This window comes from Homo sapiens, chromosome 17 (assembly GCF_000001405.40).
Source record: "Homo sapiens chromosome 17, GRCh38.p14 Primary Assembly".
Lineage (NCBI taxonomy): Eukaryota > Metazoa > Chordata > Mammalia > Primates > Hominidae > Homo > Homo sapiens.
The window spans coordinates 45990423-46007758 of NC_000017.11; the positions used below are offsets into that span (position 1 = coordinate 45990423).

At 51.3% G+C, this 17336-nt stretch overlaps 2 protein-coding genes across 30 annotated transcripts in view, besides 1 other annotated feature; both read left to right on the plus strand.

The window, feature by feature from the left end:
- Positions 1-17336, plus strand: part of MAPT (microtubule associated protein tau) — a 133781-nt gene that overhangs the window by 95869 nt on the left and 20576 nt on the right. For 27 of the 29 annotated variants that reach the window (NM_001377268.1, XM_005257362.5, XM_005257365.5 and 24 more), the window contains 2 exons: positions 1038-1164; positions 5977-6242. In NM_001377268.1, the coding sequence (NP_001364197.1) occupies positions 1038-1164; positions 5977-6242 (393 nt within the window). Of the gene's footprint in view, positions 1-1037; positions 1165-3501; positions 3556-5976; positions 6243-17336 lie in introns of all 29 variants that reach the window. The other 2 variants (NM_001123066.4, NR_165166.1) reach the window with 2 other exon arrangements.
- Positions 2215-2776: an enhancer, noted in NCBI's record as "H3K4me1 hESC enhancer chr17:44070003-44070564 (GRCh37/hg19 assembly coordinates)". NCBI's record gives its function as "activates a minimal SCP1, AML or CMV promoter by ChIP-STARR-seq in naive H9 embryonic stem cells {active_cell/tissue: H9 hESC(naive)}" and the evidence as "EXISTENCE:reporter gene assay evidence [ECO:0000049][PMID:30033119]".
- STH (saitohin) lies at positions 8828-9272 on the plus strand. Its single transcript, NM_001007532.3, has one exon. It carries the CDS (start codon positions 8858-8860, stop codon positions 9242-9244), a length of 387 nt encoding a protein of 128 aa, NP_001007533.1. The 5' UTR covers positions 8828-8857; the 3' UTR covers positions 9245-9272.

Here is a 17336-nt window from a genome sequence, read left to right on the forward strand (position 1 = left end):
GGCTAACATGGCAAAACCCTGTCTCTACTAAAAATACAAAAATTAGCCGGGCGTGGTGGTATGCGTGGTGGTAATCGCAGCTACTCGGGAGGCTGAGGCACAAGGATTGCTTGAACCCCAGAGGCAGAGGTTGTAGTTAGCTCCAGCTTGGGCGACAGAGCAAGACCCTGTCGCAAAAATTGTTTAAAAAACAAACCCAAAATTGCTACTCTCATTGGGTTCCTTTGCCCATTCCTGATTTTGGCAAGAGAAATGCTTCCAGATTGCCCTGATCTGGGTAGGACAGCATCACGCCATAGCAACACTGCCCCGTGAGCTCACTGCCCCCTCAACTAGCTTGTGGTCCTTGGTTAATGTCAGTTTCTTTTTTGAGTTTGTGTTATGTCTAAGGGTCATCTGCTGGGTAACGGAACCCAGGGACTGCCCTAGTCCCTAGACTGTGCCATGCCCGACTCTGCCAGCTTTGTCAGTGATGCTGGTGCTCGCCTCCTCGGGTGCTCGCCTGGTCTGAGCACACCCAAGGAGTTCTTGAGGCCTTAGGGTTGTTTGCGAGAGAATGAAAGAACACGACCTAGCTCTCTTTAGCATCCTTGGTCAGGTTCAACACTGCCCCCAGGGGCCTCTGGTGGAGCCAACCACCATCAGCCAAATAAATCCATAATTAGAGTCAGAAAATGGATGTCTGCATATGTGTAGTGCACTAATGTCCTGCCGATGATTGACATGGAGTGGAGAGTGACCTGATCATTGCTGTGAGCTCTGCTGGCCTTGGCACAACTCATGCTGATAACTAATGCACACAGTTCCTCTGGGAGGAAATGTCCTCAGGGAACTTGGAGTTTGGGTGGGGATGTGGGTTTGTGTGCCCAGCAAGCCCTTGTGGTTGTAGCAGACACTAGTGGCATCTAGGAGGCAAAGGGTCACCCCAGTCTTAGCCACGTTTTGAGTCAAGGTGGCGGAGTGGGGCTGGTGTTGACTCTTGGTGGCAGTAACTTTTCCCAATGGTGAAAAACCCCTCTATCATGTTTCATTTACAGGGGGCTGATGGTAAAACGAAGATCGCCACACCGCGGGGAGCAGCCCCTCCAGGCCAGAAGGGCCAGGCCAACGCCACCAGGATTCCAGCAAAAACCCCGCCCGCTCCAAAGACACCACCCAGCTCTGGTAAGAAGAACGTTCTCTTGAATCTTAGAGGAAGCTGAAGCTCTCAGAGGTACAGCCTTCATTTTAGGAGGCCTTAGGCCACTGAGAATGAATAACCCCTGGCAGCTGGTCAGCAGCTTGCAGTTTACTAAGCACTGGAGTCTTCATTGCCTTCTCAGTCCTTTTGATTTCTGAGGCAAATGTTGAATCCCTACCTTTTTTTTTTTTTTTCTTTTGAGACAGAGTTTCGCTTTTGTTATCCAGGCCGGAGTGCAGTGGTGTGATCTCAGCTCACTGCATCCTCCACCTCCCAGGTTCAAGCGATTCTCCTACCTCAGCCTCCCTAGTAGCTGGGATTACAGGCACCTGCCACTATGCCCGGCTAATTTTTTGTATTTTTAGTAGAGACAGGGTTTCACCATGTTGGCCAGGCTGGTCTCGAACGCCTGACCTCAGGTGATCCACCTGCCTCGGCCTCCCAAAGTGCTGGGATTACAGGCATGAGCCACCACTCCCAGCCTGAATCCTCACTTTTTATCAATGAAGAAATTGAGGCTGATTCTGCAGCATGATAAAAAAAAATACAGAAAAAGGAAAAAAAAGAAAGAAATCGAGCCTCTGAGAGTTTGCTTGACTGAGTCTAACCAGCTCATTTTAAACCCGAGGAAAATGCAGTCACATGACTACTAAGTGGCAGCTCTCGGAGCCTCTCTGGCCCCAAGTCCAGGGTTCCATAGAGGCAGCCCCAGCATGGCATGTTTTCAGTCCCCAAATGAGACTCTGGAGACAAATGTCTCTGGAGACAGAGCAGCAGCCTGGATAAGTCACAATGGGTGACGTCACTCAGGGCTCAACCCCTGGGCAGCTTAACTTGCTAGGGACGTTAGGAGTCTGCTGCAAAACCTGAGGGTCTTAGCTGAGCAGTCACAGGCTGGGCCCGTTGCCCTGGGCTCCTGTGAGTAAAACCCAGTCAATTTTGAGTACCCAGTAAGGCATCCATTGAGTTATTTTGCAGCCAGGAGTGCTATTAAGAACAGTCGCGGCTGGGCGTGGTGGCTCATGCCTGTAATCCCAGCACTTTGGGAGGCCAAGGTGGGCGGATCACCTGAGGTCAGGAGTTCGAGACCAGCTTGGCCAACATGGCAAAACCCCGTCTCTAATAAAAATACAAAATAATTAGCTGGGCGTGGTGGCGGGCGCCTGTAATCCCAGCTTCTCAGGAGGGTGAGGAAGGAGAATCACTTGAACCCAGGAGGCAGAGGTTGCAGTGAGCTGAGATCGCACCATTGCACTCCAGCCTGGATGACAAAAGTGAGATTCCTTCTCAAAAAAAAAAAAAAAAAAACAGTCGTCCTCTTTGGGGATTAGGGACAGCCTGCCTGCCTGCCCGAGCACTTCTCTCTTCCATTGCCCCAGTGAAGTATTCCAGGCCCCTGGGTTTAGACTCTGCACCATGTAGGGGTGTCTGACCTGCACTTGCTCCTTGGTGGCACGGGCAGCCTATGGCACTTGCTGCGGGCTGTGACCAAAGCCTGGCCTGGATCTTGGATCTTGGTGACTCTGCTTCTCCCTGGCCTGAGGGAGCTGCCCAGAGCCTGCCCACCACCTGCTGCGTGTCTTTGCGGTGGCATTTCTCGCACACATGCCGTGCAGTGGCACCCCCAAGGATGGCCATTCACTAAGGCCCATTGTTTTTGTCTTTTCGCTTCGTGTTTTCTGGCCTGGTGTTTTTCTCATATACATGTGATCCAGGGATAATTCCCAGAATTTTGACAGGATTTTAAGTAGCGTTTGGATCCTGCTGTTTTTTTTTCACTTAACATCGGGCCAGTTGACTCACACTCTGTTTTTTGTTGTTGTTTTTTTGAGACGGAGTCTCACTGTGTCACCCAGGCTGAAGTGCAGTGGCACAATCTTGGCATACTGCAACCTCTGCTTCCCAAATTCAAGCAGTTTTCCTGCCTCAGCCTCCTGAGTAGCTGGGACTACAGGCACAGGCCACCACGCCCTGCTAATTTTTGTATTTTTAGTAAAGACAGGGTTTCACCATTTTGGCCAGCCTAGTCTCGAACTCCTGACCTCAAGTGATCCGCCCACCTCGGCCTCCCAAAGTGCTGGGATTACAGGGGACTCACACTTTGTAACAACCTGAAACAACGTGATGCATTTCCCTTTGGGTCTTACCTGCTCTTCGGTGGCTGCCTGCAGGTGGAGAGACCCTCCCCCTTGGGCCCCTCGACCTTGTTTCAGAATGGGGCCCCTGCTGGGCCAGCTGTGGGTGCCTGCCACGTGAAGGACTCATTAAGGCCCTGTTTAAGCCTGATGATAATAAGGCTTTCGTGGATTTTTCTCTTTAAGCGACTAAGCAAGTCCAGAGAAGACCACCCCCTGCAGGGCCCAGATCTGAGAGAGGTACTCGGGAGCCTACTTCGCTGGGAGCAGCCTCCCTTTGCGTGTGTGGCCATTCACTGGCTTGTGTTTCTAGAGCCGGGAGGACCCTTTTCTGCAATGCAGGGTTCACACAGGGTTCGCAGCCTGAAGATGGAGCAGTCCGAATTCTCTTCCCTGTGCAGTTTGCGCAGCTGTGTTTGTCTGATGGGCTTTCTAATCCTGTGTGCTCTCCTTGACTTCAGGGACAATGGCATTACAGGCATGAGCCACCATGCCTGGCTGTCTCCCTATGTTTCAGATGAAGACATAGGCTTAAGGAGGTCAGGTGACTTGCCCACGACCACTCTGTAAATAAGAGGCATGAAAAGTATTTGGAGCCACCACCACCAAGCCCACTGGTCACCCTGGGTCTCTGAAGTCAGGGAGGCAGGAGGATGGGAGGTCTGAGGAGGCAGAGAGGCTGAGCCTGGAGGCCCTGGAGGCCGAGGCCCCATCTGTTGTTTCCTTATGTGGAAAATAAGAGGCTTCGTTTGTCCTATTGCCACAGAGCGTACTACTTCAGGAACATCCAAGACATGGAAATCCGCAGGGCACGGTGGCTCACGTCTATAATCCCGGCACTTTGGGAGGTTGAGGTGGGAGAATCGCTTGAGGCCAGAAGTTCAAGACCAGCCTGAGCAACATAGTCAGACCCCGTCTCTATAAAAAACATTATTTTTAAAAAAGACATGGAAGTCAAATTCTAAAAACTGGTGCTGGCTGGGTGCGGTGGCTCATGCCTATAATCCCAGCACTTTGGGAGGCCGAGGCGGGTGGATCACCTGAGGTCAGGAGTTCAAGACCAGCCTGGCCAACATGGTAAAACCTCTACTAAAGAAATCTTTACTGAAAATACAAAAATCCAGTCTCTACTAAAATAAGTCTCTACTAAAAATACAAAAATTAGCCAGGCGTGGTGCTGCACACCTGTAATATCAGCTACTCGGGAGGCTGAGGCAGGAGACTCGCTTGATCCCATGCAGCGGAGGTTGCAGTGAGCCGAGATCACGCCATTGCACTCCAGCCTGGGCATCAGAATAAGACTCCGTCTCAAAAAAAAAACCACAAAAAAACAAAACAACAACAAAAGAAAACTAGTGCTTATTCGTCACTGGCCAAGCTGCCCATTGGCTACATGGGTGCTTCAAAGAGCTGCCCTTCTCCAGGTCTGGCCAGCAGGTATGTGTTACAGCAAATGCCTGGGGCAGCGGCAGGGGCATTGCTGCGGGAAGCTTCTGGACTTGCAGGAAAGCTAAGTTCTCAGACTGCAGGGGAGCTAAGCACACCTCGGCACAGGGTGAGGCCTGCGGTTCTCAGACTTCAGTCTTTGTGGAGCTTGAGAAAAATGAGGCTTTGCAGGTCCCACCCCTAGAGATTCTGCTCTATCCACTCTTGAAGGGGATCGAGAAATTTGCATTTTGCAACTCCCACTTTCCTCCTTGAAAGCTCCGGAGATTCTGACGCAGGGTTCCGTGGGCCACACTTTGGAAAATACAGACCCATGAGATAGAATACCAGACTGTTGAAGTGTAACGGGGGCCTGGGAAGTGCAGTAACAGAAGCAAGTTTGAGGGTAAAGGACACCCAGAGGAGGGAGGGACAGCATCTGCATGGAGAGGAGAAGAGACCCCCCAGCAGCTTCCAGGGTGTTGGAAGGGTGCGCTAGTAACTGCTATGCATGGCAGGTGGGGAACTGTACGTCAGGGCACAGCAGCATGAAGCGGTATGGCTCGTGTGGACAGCTAGGGACAGGCAGGCGTGGAGCAGGCATCCTGTTCTGAAGGCCAAATCCCACAGAGGAGCCAGGGTGCTGGCAGGAGCCCTGAACTAGCCGAACAGCTGAACAGCTGAACATTCACCCTGTGGGGAAAGGGTCAGAAGCGTCCAGGCTTGAGGGCACAGCTGGGTCTCGTCACTGCATCACCCTTATTTAGGATAAAGGCCCTGAAGAATTGTATTAGAGGTTGGCAAAGCATATCTACCACCTCCTGGAGCCACGCTGGCCGCAGGGATTATAATTATTTCCATTTTCAAATTAAGGCCTCTGAGCTCAGAGAGGGGAAGTTACTTGTCTGAGGCCACACAGCTTGTTGGAGCCCATCTCTTGACCCAAAGACTGTGGAGCCGAGTTGGCCACCTCTCTGGGAGCGGGTATTGGATGGTGGTTGATGGTTTTCCATTGCTTTCCTGGGAAAGGGGTGTCTCTGTCCCTAAGCAAAAAGGCAGGGAGGAAGAGATGCTTCCCCAGGGCAGCCGTCTGCTGTAGCTGCGCTTCCAACCTGGCTTCCACCTGCCTAACCCAGTGGTGAGCCTGGGAATGGACCCACGGGACAGGCAGCCCCCAGGGCCTTTTCTGACCCCACCCACTCGAGTCCTGGCTTCACTCCCTTCCTTCCTTCCCAGGTGAACCTCCAAAATCAGGGGATCGCAGCGGCTACAGCAGCCCCGGCTCCCCAGGCACTCCCGGCAGCCGCTCCCGCACCCCGTCCCTTCCAACCCCACCCACCCGGGAGCCCAAGAAGGTGGCAGTGGTCCGTACTCCACCCAAGTCGCCGTCTTCCGCCAAGAGCCGCCTGCAGACAGCCCCCGTGCCCATGCCAGACCTGAAGAATGTCAAGTCCAAGATCGGCTCCACTGAGAACCTGAAGCACCAGCCGGGAGGCGGGAAGGTGAGAGTGGCTGGCTGCGCGTGGAGGTGTGGGGGGCTGCGCCTGGAGGGGTAGGGCTGTGCCTGGAAGGGTAGGGCTGCGCCTGGAGGTGCGCGGTTGAGCGTGGAGTCGTGGGACTGTGCATGGAGGTGTGGGGCTCCCCGCACCTGAGCACCCCCGCATAACACCCCAGTCCCCTCTGGACCCTCTTCAAGGAAGTTCAGTTCTTTATTGGGCTCTCCACTACACTGTGAGTGCCCTCCTCAGGCGAGAGAACGTTCTGGCTCTTCTCTTGCCCCTTCAGCCCCTGTTAATCGGACAGAGATGGCAGGGCTGTGTCTCCACGGCCGGAGGCTCTCATAGTCAGGGCACCCACAGCGGTTCCCCACCTGCCTTCTGGGCAGAATACACTGCCACCCATAGGTCAGCATCTCCACTCGTGGGCCATCTGCTTAGGTTGGGTTCCTCTGGATTCTGGGGAGATTGGGGGTTCTGTTTTGATCAGCTGATTCTTCTGGGAGCAAGTGGGTGCTCGCGAGCTCTCCAGCTTCCTAAAGGTGGAGAAGCACAGACTTCGGGGGCCTGGCCTGGATCCCTTTCCCCATTCCTGTCCCTGTGCCCCTCGTCTGGGTGCGTTAGGGCTGACATACAAAGCACCACAGTGAAAGAACAGCAGTATGCCTCCTCACTAGCCAGGTGTGGGCGGGTGGGTTTCTTCCAAGGCCTCTCTGTGGCCGTGGGTAGCCACCTCTGTCCTGCACCGCTGCAGTCTTCCCTCTGTGTGTGCTCCTGGTAGCTCTGCGCATGCTCATCTTCTTATAAGAACACCATGGCAGCTGGGCGTAGTGGCTCACGCCTATAATCCCAGCACTTTGGGAGGCTGAGGCAGGCAGATCACGAGGTCAGGAGTTCGAGACCAACCTGACCAACAGGGTGAAACCTCGTCTCTACTAAAAATACAAAAATACCTGGGCGTGGTGGTGGTGCGCGCCTATAATCCCAGCTACTCAGGAGGCTGAGGCAGGAGAATCGCTTGAACCCAGGAGGCAGAGGTTGCAGTGAGCCGAGATAGTGCCACTGCACTCCAGTTTGAGCAACAGAGCGAGACTCTGTCTCAAAACAAAATAAAACAAACCAAAAAAACCCACCATGGCTTAGGGCCCAGCCTGATGACCTCATTTTTCACTTAGTCACCTCTCTAAAGGCCCTGTCTCCAAATAGAGTCACATTCTAAGGTACGGGGGTGTTGGGGAGGGGGGTTAGGGCTTCAACATGTGAATTTGCGGGGACCACAATTCAGCCCAGGACCCCGCTCCCGCCACCCAGCACTGGGGAGCTGGGGAAGGGTGAAGAGGAGGCTGGGGGTGAGAAGGACCACAGCTCACTCTGAGGCTGCAGATGTGCTGGGCCTTCTGGGCACTGGGCCTCGGGGAGCTAGGGGGCTTTCTGGAACCCTGGGCCTGCGTGTCAGCTTGCCTCCCCCACGCAGGCGCTCTCCACACCATTGAAGTTCTTATCACTTGGGTCTGAGCCTGGGGCATTTGGACGGAGGGTGGCCACCAGTGCACATGGGCACCTTGCCTCAAACCCTGCCACCTCCCCCCACCCAGGATCCCCCCTGCCCCCGAACAAGCTTGTGAGTGCAGTGTCACATCCCATCGGGATGGAAATGGACGGTCGGGTTAAAAGGGACGCATGTGTAGACCCTGCCTCTGTGCATCAGGCCTCTTTTGAGAGTCCCTGCGTGCCAGGCGGTGCACAGAGGTGGAGAAGACTCGGCTGTGCCCCAGAGCACCTCCTCTCATCGAGGAAAGGACAGACAGTGGCTCCCCTGTGGCTGTGGGGACAAGGGCAGAGCTCCCTGGAACACAGGAGGGAGGGAAGGAAGAGAACATCTCAGAATCTCCCTCCTGATGGCAAACGATCCGGGTTAAATTAAGGTCCGGCCTTTTCCTGCTCAGGCATGTGGAGCTTGTAGTGGAAGAGGCTCTCTGGACCCTCATCCACCACAGTGGCCTGGTTAGAGACCTTGGGGAAATAACTCACAGGTGACCCAGGGCCTCTGTCCTGTACCGCAGCTGAGGGAAACTGTCCTGCGCTTCCACTGGGGACAATGCGCTCCCTCGTCTCCAGACTTTCCAGTCCTCATTCGGTTCTCGAAAGTCGCCTCCAGAAGCCCCATCTTGGGACCACCGTGACTTTCATTCTCCAGGGTGCCTGGCCTTGGTGCTGCCCAAGACCCCAGAGGGGCCCTCACTGGCCTTTCCTGCCTTTTCTCCCATTGCCCACCCATGCACCCCCATCCTGCTCCAGCACCCAGACTGCCATCCAGGATCTCCTCAAGTCACATAACAAGCAGCACCCACAAGGTGCTCCCTTCCCCCTAGCCTGAATCTGCTGCTCCCCGTCTGGGGTTCCCCGCCCATGCACCTCTGGGGGCCCCTGGGTTCTGCCATACCCTGCCCTGTGTCCCATGGTGGGGAATGTCCTTCTCTCCTTATCTCTTCCCTTCCCTTAAATCCAAGTTCAGTTGCCATCTCCTCCAGGAAGTCTTCCTGGATTCCCCTCTCTCTTCTTAAAGCCCCTGTAAACTCTGACCACACTGAGCATGTGTCTGCTGCTCCCTAGTCTGGGCCATGAGTGAGGGTGGAGGCCAAGTCTCATGCATTTTTGCAGCCCCCACAAGACTGTGCAGGTGGCCGGCCCTCATTGAATGCGGGGTTAATTTAACTCAGCCTCTGTGTGAGTGGATGATTCAGGTTGCCAGAGACAGAACCCTCAGCTTAGCATGGGAAGTAGCTTCCCTGTTGACCCTGAGTTCATCTGAGGTTGGCTTGGAAGGTGTGGGCACCATTTGGCCCAGTTCTTACAGCTCTGAAGAGAGCAGCAGGAATGGGGCTGAGCAGGGAAGACAACTTTCCATTGAAGGCCCCTTTCAGGGCCAGAACTGTCCCTCCCACCCTGCAGCTGCCCTGCCTCTGCCCATGAGGGGTGAGAGTCAGGCGACCTCATGCCAAGTGTAGAAAGGGGCAGATGGGAGCCCCAGGTTATGACGTCACCATGCTGGGTGGAGGCAGCACGTCCAAATCTACTAAAGGGTTAAAGGAGAAAGGGTGACTTGACTTTTCTTGAGATATTTTGGGGGACGAAGTGTGGAAAAGTGGCAGAGGACACAGTCACAGCCTCCCTTAAATGCCAGGAAAGCCTAGAAAAATTGTCTGAAACTAAACCTCAGCCATAACAAAGACCAACACATGAATCTCCAGGAAAAAAGAAAAAGAAAAATGTCATACAGGGTCCATGCACAAGAGCCTTTAAAATGACCCGCTGAAGGGTGTCAGGCCTCCTCCTCCTGGACTGGCCTGAAGGCTCCACGAGCTTTTGCTGAGACCTTTGGGTCCCTGTGGCCTCATGTAGTACCCAGTATGCAGTAAGTGCTCAATAAATGTTTGGCTACAAAAGAGGCAAAGCTGGCGGAGTCTGAAGAATCCCTCAACCGTGCCGGAACAGATGCTAACACCAAAGGGAAAAGAGCAGGAGCCAAGTCACGTTTGGGAACCTGCAGAGGCTGAAAACTGCCGCAGATTGCTGCAAATCATTGGGGGAAAAACGGAAAACGTCTGTTTTCCCCTTTGTGCTTTTCTCTGTTTTCTTCTTTGTGCTTTTCTCTGTTTTCAGGATTTGCTACAGTGAACATAGATTGCTTTGGGGCCCCAAATGGAATTATTTTGAAAGGAAAATGCAGATAATCAGGTGGCCGCACTGGAGCACCAGCTGGGTAGGGGTAGAGATTGCAGGCAAGGAGGAGGAGCTGGGTGGGGTGCCAGGCAGGAAGAGCCCGTAGGCCCCGCCGATCTTGTGGGAGTCGTGGGTGGCAGTGTTCCCTCCAGACTGTAAAAGGGAGCACCTGGCGGGAAGAGGGAATTCTTTTAAACATCATTCCAGTGCCCGAGCCTCCTGGACCTGTTGTCATCTTGAGGTGGGCCTCCCCTGGGTGACTCTAGTGTGCAGCCTGGCTGAGACTCAGTGGCCCTGGGTTCTTACTGCTGACACCTACCCTCAACCTCAACCACTGCGGCCTCCTGTGCACCCTGATCCAGTGGCTCATTTTCCACTTTCAGTCCCAGCTCTATCCCTATTTGCAGTTTCCAAGTGCCTGGTCCTCAGTCAGCTCAGACCCAGCCAGGCCAGCCCCTGGTTCCCACATCCCCTTTGCCAAGCTCATCCCCGCCCTGTTTGGCCTGCGGGAGTGGGAGTGTGTCCAGACACAGAGACAAAGGACCAGCTTTTAAAACATTTTGTTGGGGCCAGGTGTGGTGGCTCACACCTAATCCCAACACCTGGGGAGGCCAAGGCAGAAGGATCACTTGAGTCCAGGAGTTCAAGACCAGCCTGGGCAACATAGGGAGACCCTGTCTCTACAATTTTTTTTTTAATTAGCTGGGCCTGTTGGCACTCTCCTGTAGTTCCAGCTACTCTAGAGGCTGAGGTGGGAGGACTGCTTGAGCCTGGGAGGTCAGGGCTGCAATGAGCCATGTTCACACCACTGAACGCCAGCCTGGGCGAGACCCTGTATCAAAAAAGTAAAGTAAAATGAATCCTGTACGTTATATTAAGGTGCCCCAAATTGTACTTAGAAGGATTTCATAGTTTTAAATACTTTTGTTATTTAAAAAATTAAATGACTGCAGCATATAAATTAGGTTCTTAATGGAGGGGAAAAAGAGTACAAGAAAAGAAATAAGAATCTAGAAACAAAGATAAGAGCAGAAATAAACCAGAAAACACAACCTTGCACTCCTAACTTAAAAAAAAAAATGAAGAAAACACAACCAGTAAAACAACATATAACAGCATTAAGAGCTGGCTCCTGGCTGGGCGCGGTGGCGCATGCCTGTAATCCCAACACTTTGGGAGGCCGATGCTGGAGGATCACTTGAGACCAGGAGTTCAAGGTTGCAGTGAGCTATGATCATACCACTACACCCTAGCCTGGGCAACACAGTGAGACTGAGACTCTATTAAAAAAAAAATGCTGGTTCCTTCCTTATTTCATTCCTTTATTCATTCATTCAGACAACATTTATGGGGCACTTCTGAGCACCAGGCTCTGTGCTAAGAGCTTTTGCCCCCAGGGTCCAGGCCAGGGGACAGGGGCAGGTGAGCAGAGAAACAGGGCCAGTCACAGCAGCAGGAGGAATGTAGGATGGAGAGCTTGGCCAGGCAAGGACATGCAGGGGGAGCAGCCTGCACAAGTCAGCAAGCCAGAGAAGACAGGCAGACCCTTGTTTGGGACCTGTTCAGTGGCCTTTGAAAGGACAGCCCCCACCCGGAGTGCTGGGTGCAGGAGCTGAAGGAGGATAGTGGAACACTGCAACGTGGAGCTCTTCAGAGCAAAAGCAAAATAAACAACTGGAGGCAGCTGGGGCAGCAGAGGGTGTGTGTTCAGCACTAAGGGGTGTGAAGCTTGAGCGCTAGGAGAGTTCACACTGGCAGAAGAGAGGTTGGGGCAGCTGCAAGCCTCTGGACATCGCCCGACAGGACAGAGGGTGGTGGACGGTGGCCCTGAAGAGAGGCTCAGTTCAGCTGGCAGTGGCCGTGGGAGTGCTGAAGCAGGCAGGCTGTCGGCATCTGCTGGGGACGGTTAAGCAGGGGTGAGGGCCCAGCCTCAGCAGCCCTTCTTGGGGGGTCGCTGGGAAACATAGAGGAGAACTGAAGAAGCAGGGAGTCCCAGGGTCCATGCAGGGCGAGAGAGAAGTTGCTCATGTGGGGCCCAGGCTGCAGGATCAGGAGAACTGGGGACCCTGTGACTGCCAGCGGGGAGAAGGGGGTGTGCAGGATCATGCCCAGGGAAGGGCCCAGGGGCCCAAGCATGGGGGGGCCTGGTTGGCTCTGAGAAGATGGAGCTAAAGTCACTTTCTCGGAGGATGTCCAGGCCAATAGTTGGGATGTGAAGACGTGAAGCAGCACAGAGCCTGGAAGCCCAGGATGGACAGAAACCTACCTGAGCAGTGGGGCTTTGAAAGCCTTGGGGCGGGGGGTGCAATATTCAAGATGGCCACAAGATGGCAATAGAATGCTGTAACTTTCTTGGTTCTGGGCCGCAGCCTGGGTGGCTGCTTCCTTCCCTGTGTGTATTGATTTGTTTCTCTTTTTTGAGACAGAGTCTTGCTGGGTTGCCCAGGCTGGAGTGCAGTGGTGCGATCATAGCTCACTGCAGCCTTGAAGTCCTGAGCTCAAGAGATCCTTCCACCTCAGCCTCCTGAGTAGTTGGGACCACAGGCTTGCACCACAGTGCCCAACTAATTTCTTATATTTTTTGTAGAGATGGGGTTTCACTGTGTCGCCCAGGATGGTCTTGAACTCCTGGGCTCAAGTGATCCTCCTGCCTCAGCCTCGCAAATTGCTGGGATTACAGGTGTGAGCCACCATGCCCGACCTTCTCTTTTTAAGGGCGTGTGTGTGTGTGTGTGTGTGTGGGCGCACTCTCGTCTTCACCTTCCCCCAGCCTTGCTCTGTCTCTACCCAGTCACCTCTGCCCATCTCTCCGATCTGTTTCTCTCTCCTTTTACCCCTCTTTCCTCCCTCCTCATACACCACTGACCATTATAGAGAACTGAGTATTCTAAAAATACATTTTATTTATTTATTTTGAGACAGAGTCTCACTCTGTCACCCAGGCTGGAGTGCAGTGGTGCAATCTCGGCTCACTGCAACCTCCGCCTCCCAGGTTGAAGCAACTCTCCTGCCTCAGCCTCCCTAGTAGCTGGGATTACAAGCACACACCACCATGCCTAGCAAATTTTTATATTTTTAGTAGAGGAGGGGTGTCACCATGTTTGCCAAGCTGGTCTCAAACTCCTGGCCTCAGGTGATCTGCCTACCTTGGTCTCCCAAAGTGCTGGGATTACAGGTGTGAGCCACCACGCCTGCCCTTAAAAATACATTATATTTAATAGCAAAGCCCCAGTTGTCACTTTAAAAAGCATCTATGTAGAACATTTATGTGGAATAAATACAGTGAATTTGTACGTGGAATCGTTTGCCTCTCCTCAATCAGGGCCAGGGATGCAGGTGAGCTTGGGCTGAGATGTCAGACCCCACAGTAAGTGGGGGGCAGAGCCAGGCTGGGACCCTCCTCTAGGACAGCTCTGTAACTCTGAGACCCTCCAGGCATCTTTTCCTGTACCTCAGTGCTTCTGAAAAATCTGTGTGAATCAAATCATTTTAAAGGAGCTTGGGTTCATCACTGTTTAAAGGACAGTGTAAATAATTCTGAAGGTGACTCTACCCTGTTATTTGATCTCTTCTTTGGCCAGCTGACTTAACAGGACATAGACAGGTTTTCCTGTGTCAGTTCCTAAGCTGATCACCTTGGACTTGAAGAGGAGGCTTGTGTGGGCATCCAGTGCCCACCCCGGGTTAAACTCCCAGCAGAGTATTGCACTGGGCTTGCTGAGCCTGGTGAGGCAAAGCACAGCACAGCGAGCACCAGGCAGTGCTGGAGACAGGCCAAGTCTGGGCCAGCCTGGGAGCCAACTGTGAGGCACGGACGGGGCTGTGGGGCTGTGGGGCTGCAGGCTTGGGGCCAGGGAGGGAGGGCTGGGCTCTTTGGAACAGCCTTGAGAGAACTGAACCCAAACAAAACCAGATCAAGGTCTAGTGAGAGCTTAGGGCTGCTTTGGGTGCTCCAGGAAATTGATTAAACCAAGTGGACACACACCCCCAGCCCCACCTCACCACAGCCTCTCCTTCAGGGTCAAACTCTGACCACAGACATTTCTCCCCTGACTAGGAGTTCCCTGGATCAAAATTGGGAGCTTGCAACACATCGTTCTCTCCCTTGATGGTTTTTGTCAGTGTCTATCCAGAGCTGAAGTGTAATATATATGTTACTGTAGCTGAGAAATTAAATTTCAGGATTCTGATTTCATAATGACAACCATTCCTCTTTTCTCTCCCTTCTGTAAATCTAAGATTCTATAAACGGTGTTGACTTAATGTGACAATTGGCAGTAGTTCAGGTCTGCTTTGTAAATACCCTTGTGTCTATTGTAAAATCTCACAAAGGCTTGTTGCCTTTTTTGTGGGGTTAGAACAAGAAAAAGCCACATGGAAAAAAAATTTCTTTTTTGTTTTTTTGTTTGCTTGTTTTTTTGAGACAGAGTTTCACTCTGTCGCCCAGGCTGGAGTGCAGTGGTGCGATCTCCGCCCACTGCAAGCTCCACCTCCCGGGTTCATGCTATTCTCCTGTCTCAGCCTCCCAAGTAGCTGGGACTGCAGGTGCCCGCCACCACACCTGGCTAATTTTTTTGTATTTTTAGTAGAGACGGGGTTTCACCGTGTTAGCCAGGATGGTCTCAATCTCCTGACCTCGTCATCTGCCTGCCTCGGCCTCCCAAAGTGCTGAGATTACAGGCGTGAGCCACCGTGCCCGGCCAGAAAAAAACATTTCTAAGTATGTGGCAGATACTGAATTATTGCTTAATGTCCTTTGATTCATTTGTTTAATTTCTTTAATGGATTAGTACAGAAAACAAAGTTCTCTTCCTTGAAAAACTGGTAAGTTTTCTTTGTCAGATAAGGAGAGTTAAATAACCCATGACATTTCCCTTTTTGCCTCGGCTTCCAGGAAGCTCAAAGTTAAATGTAATGATCACTCTTGTAATTATCAGTGTTGATGCCCTTCCCTTCTTCTAATGTTACTCTTTACATTTTCCTGCTTTATTATTGTGTGTGTTTTCTAATTCTAAGCTGTTCCCACTCCTTTCTGAAAGCAGGCAAATCTTCTAAGCCTTATCCACTGAAAAGTTATGAATAAAAAATGATCGTCAAGCCTACAGGTGCTGAGGCTACTCCAGAGGCTGAGGCCAGAGGACCACTTGAGCCCAGGAATTTGAGACCTGGGCTGGGCAGCATAGCAAGACTCTATCTCCATTAAAACTATTTTTTTTTATTTAAAAAATAATCCGCAAAGAAGGAGTTTATGTGGGATTCCTTAAAATCGGAGGGTGGCATGAATTGATTCAAAGACTTGTGCAGAGGGCGACAGTGACTCCTTGAGAAGCAGTGTGAGAAAGCCTGTCCCACCTCCTTCCGCAGCTCCAGCCTGGGCTGAGGCACTGTCACAGTGTCTCCTTGCTGGCAGGAGAGAATTTCAACATTCACCAAAAAGTAGTATTGTTTTTATTAGGTTTATGAGGCTGTAGCCTTGAGGACAGCCCAGGACAACTTTGTTGTCACATAGATAGCCTGTGGCTACAAACTCTGAGATCTAGATTCTTCTGTGGCTGCTTCTGACCTGAGAAAGTTGCGGAACCTCAGCGAGCCTCACATGGCCTCCTTGTCCTTAACGTGGGGACGGTGGGCAAGAAAGGTGATGTGGCACTAGAGATTTATCCATCTCTAAAGGAGGAGTGGATTGTACATTGAAACACCAGAGAAGGAATTACAAAGGAAGAATTTGAGTATCTAAAAATGTAGGTCAGGCGCTCCTGTGTTGATTGCAGGGCTATTCACAATAGCCAAGATTTGGAAGCAACCCAAGTGTCCATCAACAGACAAATGGATAAAGAAAATGTGGTGCATATACACAATGGAATACTATTCAGCCATGAAAAAGAATGAGAATCTGTCATTTGAAACAACATGGATGGAACTGGAGGACATTATGTTAAGTGAAATAAGCCAGACAGAAGGACAGACTTCACATGTTCTCACACATTTGTGGGAGCTAAAAATTAAACTCATGGAGATAGAGAGTAGAAGGATGGTTACCAGAGGCTGAGGAGGGTGGAGGGGAGCAGGGAGAAAGTAGGGATGGTTAATGGGTACAAAAACGTAGTTAGCATGCATAGATCTAGTATTGGATAGCACAGCAGGGTGACGACAGCCAACAGTAATTTATAGTACATTTAAAAACAACTAAAAGAGTGTAATTGGACTGGCTAACATGGTGAAACCCCGTCTCTACTAAAAATACAAAAATTAGCTGGGCATGGTGGCTCACGCCTGTAATCCCAGCACTTTGGGAGGCCGAGGCGGGCCGATCACGAGGTCAGGAGATCGAGACCATCCTAGCTAACATGGTGAAACCCCGTCTCTACTACAAATACAAAAAAAAGAAAAAATTAGCCGGGCATGGTGGTGGGCGCCTGTAGTCCCAGCTACTCGGGAGGCTGAGGCAGGAGAATGGCGTGAACCCGGGAGGCGGAGCTTGCAGTGAGCCGAGATCGCGCCACTGCACTCCAGCCTGGGCGACAAGGCAAGATTCTATCTCAAAAAAATAAAAATAAAATAAAATAAAATAATAAAATAAAATAAAATAAAATAAAATAAATAAAATAAAATAAAATGTATAATTGGAATGTTTATAACACAAGAAATGATAAATGCTTGAGGTGATAGATACCCCATTCACCGTGATGTGATTATTGCACAATGTATGTCTGTATCTAAATATCTCATGTACCCCACAAGTATATACACCTACTATGTACCCATATAAATTTAAAATTAAAAAATTATAAAACAAAAATAAATAAGTAAATTAAAATGTAGGCTGGACACCGTGGTTCACGCCTGTAATCCCAGTGCTTTGTGAGGCTGAGGTGAGAGAATCACTTGAGCCCAGGAGTTTGAGACCGGCCTGGGTGACATAGCGAGACCCCATCATCACAAAGAATTTTTAAAAATTAGCTGGGCGTGGTAGCACATACCGGTAGTTCCAGCTACTTGGGAGACCGAGGCAGGAGGATTGCTTGAGCCCAGGAGTTTAAGGCTGCAGTGAGCTACGATGGCGCCACTGCATTCCAGCCTGGGTGACAGAGTGAGAGCTTGTCTCTATTTTAAAAATAATAAAAAGAATAAATAAAAATAAATTAAAATGTAAATATGTGCATGTTAGAAAAAATACACCCATCAGCAAAAAGGGGGTAAAGGAGCGATTTCAGTCATAATTGGAGAGATGCAGAATAAGCCAGCAATGCAGTTTCTTTTATTTTGGTCAAAAAAAATAAGCAAAACAATGTTGTAAACACCCAGTGCTGGCAGCAATGTGGTGAGGCTGGCTCTCTCACCAGGGCTCACAGGGAAAACTCATGCAACCCTTTTAGA